The sequence below is a fragment of the Homo sapiens genome, chromosome 2 (genome assembly GCF_000001405.40).
Source record: "Homo sapiens chromosome 2, GRCh38.p14 Primary Assembly".
In the NCBI taxonomy this organism is placed as follows: Eukaryota; Metazoa; Chordata; class Mammalia; order Primates; family Hominidae; genus Homo; species Homo sapiens.
In genome coordinates, this window is record NC_000002.12 from 85,519,601 (window position 1) to 85,532,979 (window position 13,379).

Consider the following 13,379-nt stretch of genomic DNA (forward strand, 5'->3'; position numbering starts at 1 on the left):
TGGGATTACAGGCACAAGCCACCATGCCCAGTTAAACAATGACTTTTAAAAAAATTGAGACGAGGGTCTCACTATGTTGCCCAGGCCGGTCTCAAGCTCCTGGGTTCAAGTGATCCTCCCACCTTGGCCTTCCAAAGTGCTGAGATTACAGGCATGAGCCACTGTGCCCAGCCAAAGCAATGATTTTTAAAGGCAAGCTATAATAAGGAAATTAATTTTTTAAAATTCCAATTTCACTTAGTTGAGGAAATATTAAAACCTTTATTAGCTTGAAAAGAAAATAAGTGGATTAGTAAAAAACACTGCTTGTTTCCAGATACCTGTTTAGTTTTCACTGGGATGTTTTGGCTTTGGGTCAACAGAGTTTGCTCTTGTCTGTATGGCTCTGAGTGGTGCCTGTGAGATGGAGAGAACACCACAGAGGAGATCCCCCTAATCACCTAGGCCAAGTTGTCACCTTTTGCTCCCAGAAGTGTGGCCACTGTGGTACAAGCTGACAAGCTTCTCCCTGGCCCTGCCTCAGAGTCCCTTTCCAACAGGTCTAATAGACCCCAAAGATGAATGCAGCAGGGCCTGAGGCTTGGGACTACATGGGAAGGTGGAGAACTCCTCCGGAAAATCAATCGAACATCATAAAGATAAGCTGATAATGTGCAAACTTTAGGACCCAGAAATATCCCCAGAGAAACTCTTGACCATGGACCCCAGTAGTCACACACAAAAATGTTCATAGCAGCATTTGTGTGGCCAGGCATGGTGGCTCATGCCTGTAATCCCAGCACTCTGGGAGGCCGAGGCGGGTGGATCACGAGGTCAGGAGTTCCAGACCAGTCTGGCCAACATGGTGAAACCCCGTCTCTAGTAAAAATACAAAAATTAGCCGGTCGTGGTGGCAGGTGCCTATAATCCCAGCTACTCGGGAGGCTGAGGCAGGAGAATCATTTGAACCCAGGGGTGGAGGTTACAGTGAGCCAACATTGTGCCACTGCACTCCAGCCTGGGTGACAGAGCGAGACTCCATCTCAAAAAAAACAAACAAATAAACAAAAAAAACATAGCAGCACTTGCCAGTAATAGCAAAAAATCTCAAGGCCAGGTATGGTGGCTCACGCCTGTAATCCCAGCACTTTGGGAGGCCAAGGTAGGTGGATCACTGAGTCCAGGAGTTTGAGACCAGCCTGGGCAACATGGTGAAACCCTGCGTCTAGAAAAAAAAAAGAAAAATTAGCCGGGCATAGTGGCACACGCCTGGGGTCCCAGCTACTTGGGAGGCTGAGGTGGGAGGATTGCTTGAACCCAGGAGGCAGAGGTTGCAGTGAGTCATGATCCTGCCACTGCACTCCAGCCTGAATGACAGAGCAAGACCCTGTCTCAAAAAAAAAAAAAAAAAAAGGCAAACAACCCAAATGTCCATTGATAGGAGAACGGAGAAGAAAACAGCAGAAGGGTCACACAGTGGAATATTAGAGAGCTACAGCTGCAGCAAAGAGATGTCACATACATCATGTGGAGAGGTGAGAATAGCAAACTGAAGAATACATGCAGTATGATTTATTTTATATAATGTTCAAAAGCTTGCAAAAACAGCATATTGTTTACAGATGCATATTTTGGAGGTAAAATTATGAAGAAAAGCGAGATCATTATAAACAAAATTTAGGAGGGGGCTGGGATGGAGAAGGGCATGCAAAAGGGCTTTAACGGTGTTGGTTGTAATCTGTATCTTAAACTGGGTGTGGGTAGTAGGGTGTCCAGTTTTTATACTCTGTTCATGTGATCTCTTCTTTTGCAAGCATTTAATATTTAATTAAATTTTGAAAAACTAGATGTGGCAGAGGTCTCCTGCAAAAAAAAAAATTACAAAACGTTATCCTCCTAATCCCAGAACTCAAAACTCATCAACTCTCTCTGTTTAACAGTCAGACAAACAAACAAACAAAAGGACCAAGTTTACATATAGAGCAAATATAGATGGAGAAAAATGACCCAAGTGCCCGAGTTTCTCTCTCTTCTGGATCACATTTGTCTTTTAGCAATTTTTTTTTTTTTTTTTTTTTTGAGATGGAGTCTCACTCTGTCACCTAGGCTGGAGTGCAGTGGCTCCATCTCAGCTCACTGCAACCTCCACCCTCCAGGTTCGAGCAATTCTCCTGCCTCAGTCTCCCGAGTAGCCAGGACTACAGGTGCGCACTACTGTGCCCAGCTAATTTTTGCATTTTTAGTAGAGATGGGGTTTCACCATGTTAGCCAGGATGGTCTCGAACTCTGACCTCAGGCGATCCACCTACCTCAGTCTCCCAAAGTGCTGGGATTGCAGGTGTGAGCCACCATACCCAGCCTAGCAATTTTTAAAAATATTTCATTTAGGCCAGGCACAGTGGCTCACGCCTGTAATCCCACCACTTTGGGAGGCCAAGGCGGGCAGATCGCCTGAAGTCAGGAGTACAAGACCAGCCTGGCCAAAATGGTGAAACCCCATCTCTACAAAAAATGCAAAAATTAGCTGGGCATGGTGGCAGGCATCTGTAATCCCAGCTACGTGGGAGGCTGAGGCAGGAGAATCGCTTGAACCCAGGAGACAGAGGTTGCAGTGAGATCATGCCACTGGCACTCCAGCCAAACTCTGTCTCAAAAAAAGAAAAAAAAATCATTCATTATTGTAGTCACAAATACTTCTTCAGCATCTCATAAACCAGGCAATAAAGATAAACAAGGACAGATGCTGCACAGCAAAAGCACTGGAGGCTGGAGGAGCACAGGGCAGCCACAGGCAACTGGGCCTTGGGACATGTACTTCATTTATTTATTGTATTTTTTGTACAGATGGGGTCTCGCTGTATTGCCCAGGCTGGTCTTGGACTCCTGGACTCAAGTGATCCCACCTCGGCCTCCCAAAGTGCTTGGATTACAGGCGTGAGCCACCACTACCACTGGGATACGTACTTTAGAGCAAGCAGTGGTCCCTAAACTTTTTGGCACCAGGAACCAGTTTTGTGGAAGATAATTTCTCCATAGACAGTTTGGTAAGGGGGATGGTTTGTGGATGATTCAAGCACATTACACTTATTGTGCACTTTCTTTCTTTCTTTCTTTTTTTTTTTTTTTTTTTTGAGATGGACTCTCGCTCTGTCGCCAGGCTGGAGTGCAGTGCCGTGATCTTGGCTCACTGCAATCTCCACCTCCCGGGTTCAAGCGATTCTCCTGCCTCAGCCACCCGAGTAGCTAGGACTACAGTTGCATGCCACCACACCCAGCTAATTTTTGTATTTTTAGTAGAGATGCGGTTTTACCATGTTGGCCAGGCTGGTCTCGATCTCTTGACCTTGTGATCCACGCGCCTCAGCCTCCCAAAGTGCTGGGATTACAGGCGTGAGCCACCACGCCCAGCCTGGGCACTTTATTTCTATCATTATTACATTGTACTATGTAATGAAATAATATACAACTCACCATAATGTTGAATCAGTGGGAGCCCTGAGCTTATTTTCTTGCAACTGGATGGTCCCATATGGGGAGGATGGGAGACAGTGATAGATCATCAGGCATTAGATTCTCATAAGGAGCACACAACCTGGATCCCTCACGTGCTCAGTTCACAATAGGGTTCCAGCTCCTATGAGAATCCAGTGCTGCTGCTGAGCTGACAAAAAGCAGAGATCAGGTGGTAACGCAAACTCTGTTTGCGTACTGGGAGTGGCTGTAAATACAGATAAAGCTTTACTTACTGGCCTGTGCTCACCTCCCAATGTGCAGCCTGGTTCCTAACAGGGCACAGACTGGTATTGGGGTGACGGATTGGGGACCCCCTGCTTTAGAGAGTAGTAAGAGCAGATGTTTGTTGCATGGCAGGCCATATTCTAAGCATTTTACATATTCCATACAACATGTAGGAATTCACTGGATCCTCACCGTGCAACAATCCTAATGAGGTAGGTGTTATCATGATCCCCATTTCACAGAAGAGGAAATTGATAGGCACAGAGGGGTCGAGTGACCATCCATAAGGTCACACAGCTTGTAAGTGCTGAACCAGGATTCAAAGCCTGACACACTGGTGTTCCTGACCACCACACTCTGCTGCCCCTCATGCTTCCCTGAGAAGGTGACACTCTGGCTGAGACCTGAGCGATGAACACCAGTCAGGCAGCAATAGAGGAAGGAGATGGATGAAAGTTCAGGCAGATGGGGATGGATGAAAGGTCACCTGAAGGTCATACAAGGAACTAAAATAAACATTTAGCTGCACAGAGTGTGAAAGATCCATCCAGCTGAGAACAGTCCTCCTTCGTTTCTTTCTTTTGGACCTTGGCTGAGAAGGGCAGTGCAGGGATGAGGCGAGGTTTGGGGGAGGTGGTTCGAGCTCTGTGATCATTTTCTCTGGGTGAGAGGCAGACCTCGGTGCCAGGATCTGAGGGCTTCTAAAGGCCCTGGCAACAGCTACCAGGGCTCCTGAGAAAGTCCCCAGGCATCCAGGACCCTGCAGGCTTGGCAGCCCCTCAATCCCCTCTTGGCCTTGTTTCCCAAAGGACCCAACATCAATCAGGCACAAGAGCCTAAAACACGACCTAGCAAACAGCTGGCAAACTATTTTTAAAATCCAATTTAAAGTTGTATATGTATAAGCTCCAGTGGATTTCTCTGGGGAATTCTATCTTTCAAGTGGAAATTTTTTTTTAAGTCAAATAAGGTAATCTCTATTTTGATTCCCATCAAACCCCAGTGCGGGGCCCTGCAGCCAACGGTAAGTGCTAATCCACTTTAAGCACAAGCAACTCAGAGCTTGGGAGTCAGCGAGCCTCCAGGATCCACAGAGAAAGGTCAGGACTGCTGATATTTATCGTGTTAACGCTGTTAGTGTGTGTTTGGCTCTGTCCAGCACAGGAAAAGAAAGAAAAGACATGAATTTTGCCTGCTGGAGTGGAGAAGAGCCAGGCTTCTGGGATCTGCCCATGAGTTGTGCAGCTCCCTAAACCTTAGATTCCCTCTAGCCCTCTTCCAAAAACATAAATGTATAAATAGAGGAACCAAAAGAGACAAGAGCAGAGAGCAGGGTTCTGAGGCAGGAAATGGAGCAGAGAGAGCGAGAGGCAGGGCAGAGGGATGGGGAGGCAGCAGGCCCAGCACTCCACAGCCTTCTAGGCTAAGCTCAGCCACTGCCTTTTTTGTGATTCTGCAGCCACCAAGCTTAGGCCTCAGGCGCTGATGGAGAGATAAAGCATCGTGTGACAGGGCCAGCAGCACAGTGTACCCTGCAAGGTCGGCAGCTCTTTGCTTCTCCCAACAAACACCTTTTTCTGCATTCAGCCACCCAGATTTATTTGTCTCGGCTTTTCATCTTTCTGAGATCTAAAGTTACAAATTGGACAGACAGAGCTAGAGAAGGATTTCTCCTGCATTTTCTTCCCTACAGTGTGCTCTGCAAATGTCATTGCTCCTGCCTCACGGTTTTTGTCTAAACACAAACAAAACACAAACTTTAGGGTAATCTAAACGGACCCTTGGCTACCTAGGGGGTCGGATCTGCCGTGGCTACCCTTTCCCCCACCCTGCCCCCACCAGAGGCATGTTCCAAGCAGGCCAAGGTATTGAGACATTGGGAGGAGAGAGCAATGCTGGACAGACATCCTGGGGTGGAGGGGAGAGGGTCCCAGAGTGAAGGGAGAGAACTGGAAGGAAGCTCCCGACAGAAATGCTTTGTAATTTGCCTACTGTGGAGGGGCCCACAGAGGTTACAGGAGGCTGCTTTCAAGAAGGAAGGCAGTTCCACTGGGAGGGGAGAAGGGCAGGGAGCCCTACCTGCCCCTTCTGTCTGCAGTCATGATGTATGTGACCATAGTTTCACCAGGAAGTTCATGTTCAAGTCTAACCATTTAAAAAGCCATTCTTGGCTGGGCACAGTGGCCCATGCCTGTAATCCCACACTTTAGAAGGCTGAGGCAGGCGGATTGCTTGAGTCCAGGCTTTCAAGACCAGCCTAGGCAACATGGCAAGACCCCCATCTCTACAGAAAAATACAAAAATTAGCTGGGTTTGGTGGCACACACCTGTAGTCCCAGTGTCCAGCCAGGAGCACAGAACAGTCATCTGTGACCCCACTCCCTCCTGGTTTTCCTCTCCCAGGTCTGATCACTCCTTCTCAGCCTTACTGCCGGGTTCCTCTTCTTCCGCCCAACCCTTAAGGGTAGGTGATCTCTAGAGTCCCACTCATTTGGCCTACACAATTTCCTCATATCGAGTTTCAACTGCCACTTTCTCTGATGTTGCTGTCTTCAAAAGCAAACTGCTCTACGTCTCATCTACCTCATCCATCTTCAACCCAGAATTCTTGAGCACTAGATCCATAGATCTACTCAATGTGTTCACATGCAGCATGTTCCTCAACTCACCATTTTCTTTTTTTATTTTTATTTATTTATTTATTATTTTTATTTTTATTTGAAATGGAGTTTCGCTCTTGTTGCCCAGGCTGGAGTGCAATGGTGCAATCTCGGCTCACTGCAACCTCCGCCTCCTAGGTTCAAGTGATTCCCCTGCCTCAGCCTCCCGAGCAGCTGGGATTACAGGCATACACCACCACATCTGGCTAATTTTGTATTTTTAGTACAGACGGGGTTTCTCCATGTTGGTCAGGCTGGTCTCAAACTCCCGACCTCAGGTGATCCACCTGCCTCGCCTCCCAAAGTGCTGGGATTACAGGTGTGAGCCACCACGCCCGGGATTTTTTGTTCGGTTTTGGTTTGTTTGTTTTTTTTTTGAGACAGAGTCTTGCCCTTGTCACCCAAGCTAGAGTGCAATGCGTGATCTTGGCTCACTGCAACCTCCGCCTCCCGGGTTCAAGCGATTCTCCTGCCCCAGTCTCCCGAGTAGCTGGGATTACAGGCTCGTGCCACCACGGCTGGCTAATTTTTTGTATTTTTAGTAGAAACACGGTTTCACCATGTTGGTCTGGCTGGTCTCAAACTCATGACCTCAGGTGATCTGCCTGCCTCGGCCTCCCAAAGTGCTGAGATTACAGGTGTGAGCCACCGTGCCTGGCCTCAACTTATTATTCTCAAAGCTGAACTCATTATTTTCTTCCCCATCCTTTTCTGGTCTTGAACTCTCTCTCTCCTTCTGAGTGTTCCCTTGGGCAGAATTGCCATCCACTCAGTCACCCAAGGCAAACGCCTGCACTGTCTCCTTAATCCCTCCTTCTTTCTCATTCGTCTCATCCAATCAGGCACCAACGCTGTCAGTTTGTCTTTTCAATAACTTTTCCTATCTGGGGCTGCCCCTCCACCCCCACCATCACCTCTTAAATTTGAGCCCTGCTCTGTTGCAGAAATCTTCTTACTGGTCCCCTCGACTCTAGTCTCTTATCTCCTCTCCATCTTCCAGGATGCTTCCCTGGTGGTCTTCAGAAAAAACAAATGATTTGGTCACAATGCTTTCATTAATGCAGCTAAAAAACAAGGTTGTCCTATGTCAGAACAAACCATAATCTCCCATCTGAGGGATTCCTCTTCTCTCTCTTCGTTGTCTGTCCATGTTCCTTGTCTGCTTTCAAAATATTTATTTATTTTCGCTGGGTTCGGTGGCTCACGCCTGTAATCCCAGCACTTTGGGAGGCCAAAGCGGGCGGATCACCTGAGGTCAGGAGTTCGAGACCAGCCTCACCAACACGGAGAAACCCCGTCTCTACTAAAAATACAAAAATTAGCCAGGCATGGTGGTGCATGCCTGTAATACCAGCTACTCGGGAGGCTGAGGCAGGAGAATCGCTTGAACCCGGAAGGCAGAGGTTGCAGTGAGCCGAGATCTCACCACTGCACTCCAGCCTGGGCAATAAGAGCGAAACTCTGTCTCAAAAAAAAAATTTTTTATTTTAAAAATACGTTTTTAAAAATTAGACTTACATTCACCTAGTATAGAAAATTCAAATAATATAGAAAAGTGTCAAACAAAAAGCAAAATTTACCTTCTCCCTCCAGTCCCCAGAGCCACTCTCCAAACGCTACCACCATTTGTTTTGAATCGTTCCTGAAAAGTCTACATATACCTGTATACCTCTTTTTAATCTAACACAAATGAGATCATATTACCTTGCATATTGTTTTCTGGCATAACGTATTTAGAAGTTTCCCTATCAACATATATACTTCTACCTCCTATTTCAGTGATTGCATACTTTTCCATTACATGGATATATTTAACCAGTCTCCTGCTGATGGATGTCTAAGTGTTTTCCAGTTTTTTGTTATTATAATGTTGCAGTGAACATCCTTGTACATGATTTTGGCATAATTTTGCCAGCAAAATTACCACTAGGGCAAATTCCTAGTAGTAGAATTGCTGAATCAACCAGTACCTGCACTCAAAATGTTGACAGACACTGCTAAATTACCCTCCAGAAGACCTGAATCTGTTTGTACACTCCCAGCAACAAAGTATGAGGGTGTCTATTTCTCCATAGTTTTGTAAATACTGGGCATTACAAAATTTTTATTTGTTTTCCAATATGATGAAAAGTGGAAACTCATTCTGCTTTACATTTCTTTGACTATGAGTGAGGTTGAATATCTTTTCACATACTTATTGGCTATTTGTATTTCTTGTAATCTGTTCACATCCTCTGCCTGTATGGTGGTTACTTTATGAGTCCAGGTGTCTGAACCATTGTCTATTGTCCTAGGGAAGTTAATAGAGTGATAGAACCCCATGAATTTCACCTTTTCACAAGTAGGAGCCTCAATCAATCAAAGAAGATTGAACAGCCCTAAAATGCTCAAGTAAGGGATCGCTCCCGGTGCTTTCTGTCCATTGGTGCTTGGCTGACCATCTGACTGCTTGAAACTCCTTGATCATCCAGAGCTTTCAAGTTGGAGCAGTCACCATCTTCTCCCTTCTCCCATTTGGTGCATAACATCAGGAACAGGTGGCAAGGGAACTGACCAGGTCCAAAGCCACTTGTCTCTTTGGGAAATAACTGCAGCAGCACAAATCAATAAGCTTTGACCCAGTACTTCTACTCTGACCTATTACTCTACTTTGGGAAATCTTTCCTAAAGAAAGAATTCCAAATATAAAAAAAACTTCTATGCACAAGAAGTTCATTTACAGTGTTGTTTAAGTAATGGAAAACTAACTTCAAACAGCCTGTATGTCCAACACTCAGGAATTGCTCAGAAAATCCTTTGAATTTATTATCACGGAGTGCTTAATGATCACGAATATAAAGACAAGGTGATGACAGAAAAATGCTAATAATACAATGATTTAACTTTTGATGAAACTAATACATTTACACTATTTACCTATAAATATATTTAAATTATACTTTTTAAAAACCCAAAAGGGATGTTAACAGTAGTTTTGCTAACGAGCTGGCAGTATAGGTCGTTTTCTCTTATTTTTCCAAACATAAAAAGACAATTTTTGTAATTGAGATATAATTCACATACCATAAAACGCACCTTTTTGATGTGTATCAGTGATGTTTAGTATATTCATAGCGTTTTGTAACCATTACCACTATCTAATTCCAGAATATTTTTATCTTTCCAAAAAGAAACTCCATACCCATTAGCAGTTACTCTCCACTCCCTTCTTCCACCAGCCCCTGGCCACCACGAATCTACTTTTTGTTTCTATGGATTTGATTTGCCTATTCTGCCTTTTTTTTTGAAACAGGGTCTCACTCTGTAACCCAGGCTGGAGTGCTGTGGCACAATCACAGCTCACTGCAGCCTCAACCTCCCAGGCTCAGGTGATCCTCCCACCTCAGCCTCCCTAGTAGCTGGGACTACAGGTGTGTGCCAACCATCCCTGGCTAATTTGTGTATTTTTTGTAGAGACAGGTTCTCACCATGTTGCCCAGGCTGGACTCAAACTCCTGAGTTCAAGTGATCCTCCCATCTTGGTCTCCCGAAGTTCTGGGATGACAAGATGAGCTACTGCACCCAGCCTGGACATTTCATACAAATGGAACTATACAGTGTATGCTTTTTGTCACTGATTTCTTTCACTTAGCATAATGTCTTCAAGATTCATCTATGTTGGCCGGGCACGGCGGCTCATGCCTGTAATCCCAGCACTTTGGGAGGCCAAGGCGGGTAGATCACCGGAGGTCAGGAGTTCCAGACCAGCCTGGCCAACATGGTGAAACCCCGTCTCTACTAAAAATACAAAAAACTAGCCAGGCATGGTGGCAGGCACCTGTAATCCCAGCTACTTGGGAGGCTGAGGCAGGAGAATTGCTTCAACCCGGGAGGCAGAATTTTGCAGTGAGCCAAGTTCATGCCAGTGCACTCCAGCCTGGGCAACAGAGGGAGACTCTGTCTCAGAAAAAAAAAAGATTCATTCATGTTGTGGCATGTATCAGTACTTTATTCCTTTCTATGGCCAAATAATATTCCATTATATGGATATACCACATTATATTTATCCATTCATCAGTTGATGGACATTTGGTTGCTTCTACCTTTTGACTACAATGAAAAGTTGCTATGAACATTTGTGTACAAGTTTTTGTGTAAACATGTGTTGCAGCTCTCTTGAGCATACACCTAGGAGTGGGCCTGCTGGGTCATATAGTAACTATGTTGAACTTTTTGAGAAACTACAGAACTGTTTTCCAATGCGGCAGCACCAGTTTACATTCCCACCAGCGGTGTACATGTGTTCCAATTTCTCCACATCCTTGTTAACCCTTGTTAGATTCAGGATTTGTCAACATTTTCTCTCATTCTGTGGGTTGTCTTTTCACTTTCTTGACAGTGTCCTTTAACACAGTTTTTAATTTTGATGAGATCCAATTTAGCTCATCTTTCTTTGGCTGCTTATGTTTTTGGTGTCATTTCTAAGAAACCAAGATCATGGGCTGGGTGCAGTAGCTCACGCCTGTAATCTTAGCACTCTGGGAGGCCAAGGCAGCCCAATCACCTGAGGTAAGGAGTTCACCTGTCTGGCCAACATGGGAAAATCCCATCTCTATTAAAAATAATACAAAAATTAGCCTGGCATGGTGGTGGGTGCCTGTAATCCCAGCTACTCGGAAGGCTGAGGCAGGAGAATTGCTTGAACCCAGGAGGCAGAGGTTGCAGTGAGCCGAGACTGCACCACTGTACTCCAGCCTAAGTGACAGAGTGAGACTCCATCACAAAAAAAAAATCACAGGCCGGGCACGGTGGCTCACACCTATAATCCCAGCACTTTGGGAGGCTGAGGCGAGTGGATCACGAGGTCAGGAGATCGAGACCATCCTGGCTAACATGGTGAAACCCCGTCTCTACTAAAAATACAAAAAATTAGCCAGGCATGGTGGCGGGCGCCTGTAGTCCCAGCTACTCGGGAGGCTGAGGCAGGAGAATGGCGTGAACCCAGGAGGCAGAGCTTGCAGTGAGCCGAGATGGCGCCACTGCACTCCAGCCTGGGCAACAGAGAGAGACTCCATCTTAAAAAAAAAAAAATCATGGCAGGAGGCCAAGGGGCAGAGCCTGGCAGTGCCAGTGTTGGTGGCAGCAGTAGGCCTGGCATGGGCAGGATTCCAGGGAGAGCGCAGAGTCTGTACACACCAGGCCACGCCCACAAGGGCTACCCATCAGGTAACTTATGACACGTAGTTCCCAAGGCCCAGCCAGACTGCAGACACCATGAGTGTAGTCCAATCTCCAAGTAAGATTCTCAAACTAAAGGAATGCCTAGGACAGTATTGCCCCTGCATATAGAGTATCTCAGGACACTGAAGCTTAGGCTGGGACTGTGACAGTATCCACGATATGTGTGGGGGTGGGGGTGTCTATTGTGTATACTTTGCATATTTATAAAATAAAAAGTTCAGTGGTCCATCAGGTGACAAATGACTTCAGAAGAATGAACACAATGAAGCATGGGTTGGCTGTCCTTCTTTTCACAGAGGGCTCTGCAGTGGTGATGGCACCTCTGAGGCAGGTTACCTGGTATTTGGGAGCTTCCCCATAGAAGGTGTGCCATAGAAAATGCTTGCTTTGGCCAGGCATGATGGCTCATGCCTATAGTCCCAGCACTTTGGGAGGCCGAGGTAGGCAGCTCACCTGAGCTCAGTTGTTCGAGACCAACCTGAGTAATATGGTGAAACCCCCTATCTACAAAAAATATAAAAATTAGCCAGGTGTGGTGGCATGCACCTGTGGTTCCAGCTACCTGGCAAGATGAGGTGGGAGGATTGCTTAAGCCTAGGAGGTTGCAGTAAGCCAAGATTGCAACACTACATACAGAAAGACCATGTCTCAAAAAAAAAAAAAAAAAAAAAAGCCTGCTTTCCTTGCACTGGGGGAGCTCACTAGAATGAACCACTACTGCCTGGCTCCTATAGCCTGTTTATTCACCACACTCCATACCCTAGAGATAACTCACATTTGCTGCTAATCTTTTTTGGTTAACTTGCTGAAATAATTCTTACAAATTTTTACAATTTCAAATGACACGAGTTAGTACAGGAAAAGTATAAATCCCACCCACAGAGATACTCATTGTAAAGTTTGGCGTGCAGATTCCCAGAATTTATTCTATGAACCAAAAAAATATACACCTGTGGCTGGGCATGGTGGCTCATGCCTGTAATCCCAGCACTTTGTGAGGCTGAGGCGAGCAGATCACTTGAGATCAGAAGTTTGAGACCAGCCTGGCCAACATAGTGAAACCCCATCTCTACTAAAAATACAAAAAATTAGTCGGTCGTGGTGCCGGGCGTCTGTAATCCCAGCTACTTGGGAGGCTGAGGCACCAAAATCGCTTGAACCTGGGAGGCAAAGCTTGCAGTAAGCTGAGATTGCACCACTGTACTCCAGCCTGGGTGACAAAACGAGACTCCATATCCAAAATATATAAATTTGTTTTTTTCGTTTTTTTTTTTTTTTTTTTGAGGCAGAGTTTCGCTCTTGTTGCCCAGGCTGGAGTACAATGGCACAAAATCAGCCCACCACAACCTCTGCCTCCCAGGTTCAAGCGATTCTCCTGCCTCAGCCTCCCAAGTAGCTGGGATTACAGGCATGTGCCACCACGCCCGGCTAATTTTTTGTATTTTCAGTAGAGATGGGGTTTCACCATGTTGGCCGGGCTGGTCTCAATCTCTTGACCTCGCGATCCACCCACCTTGGCCTCCCAAAGTGCTGGGATTACAGGCGTGAGCCACCGCGCCAGGCTTTCCTTTCCTCCCCTCCCCTCCTCTTTTCTCCTCCCTCCCTCCCTCCCTCTCTTTATCTTTTGACAGAGTTTCACTCTTGTTGTTCAGGCGAGAGCGCAGTGGCACGATCTCGGCTCACTGCAACCTTCACCTCCGGGTTTCAAGTGATTCTCCTGCCTCAGCCTCCCAAGTATCTGGGATTACAGGCACCACCACCACGCCCAGCTAATTCTTGTAT

The 13,379-nt window shown here is 46.1% G+C and overlaps 1 annotated feature.

Annotated features, from left to right (window-relative positions):
- Positions 7,589–7,780: a silencer, noted in NCBI's record as "fragment chr2:85754312-85754503 (GRCh37/hg19 assembly coordinates)". NCBI's record gives its function as "represses an EF-1alpha promoter that drives an FKBP-Casp9 reporter gene in an ReSE screen in K562 erythroleukemia cells {active_cell/tissue: K562}" and the evidence as "EXISTENCE:reporter gene assay evidence [ECO:0000049][PMID:32094911]".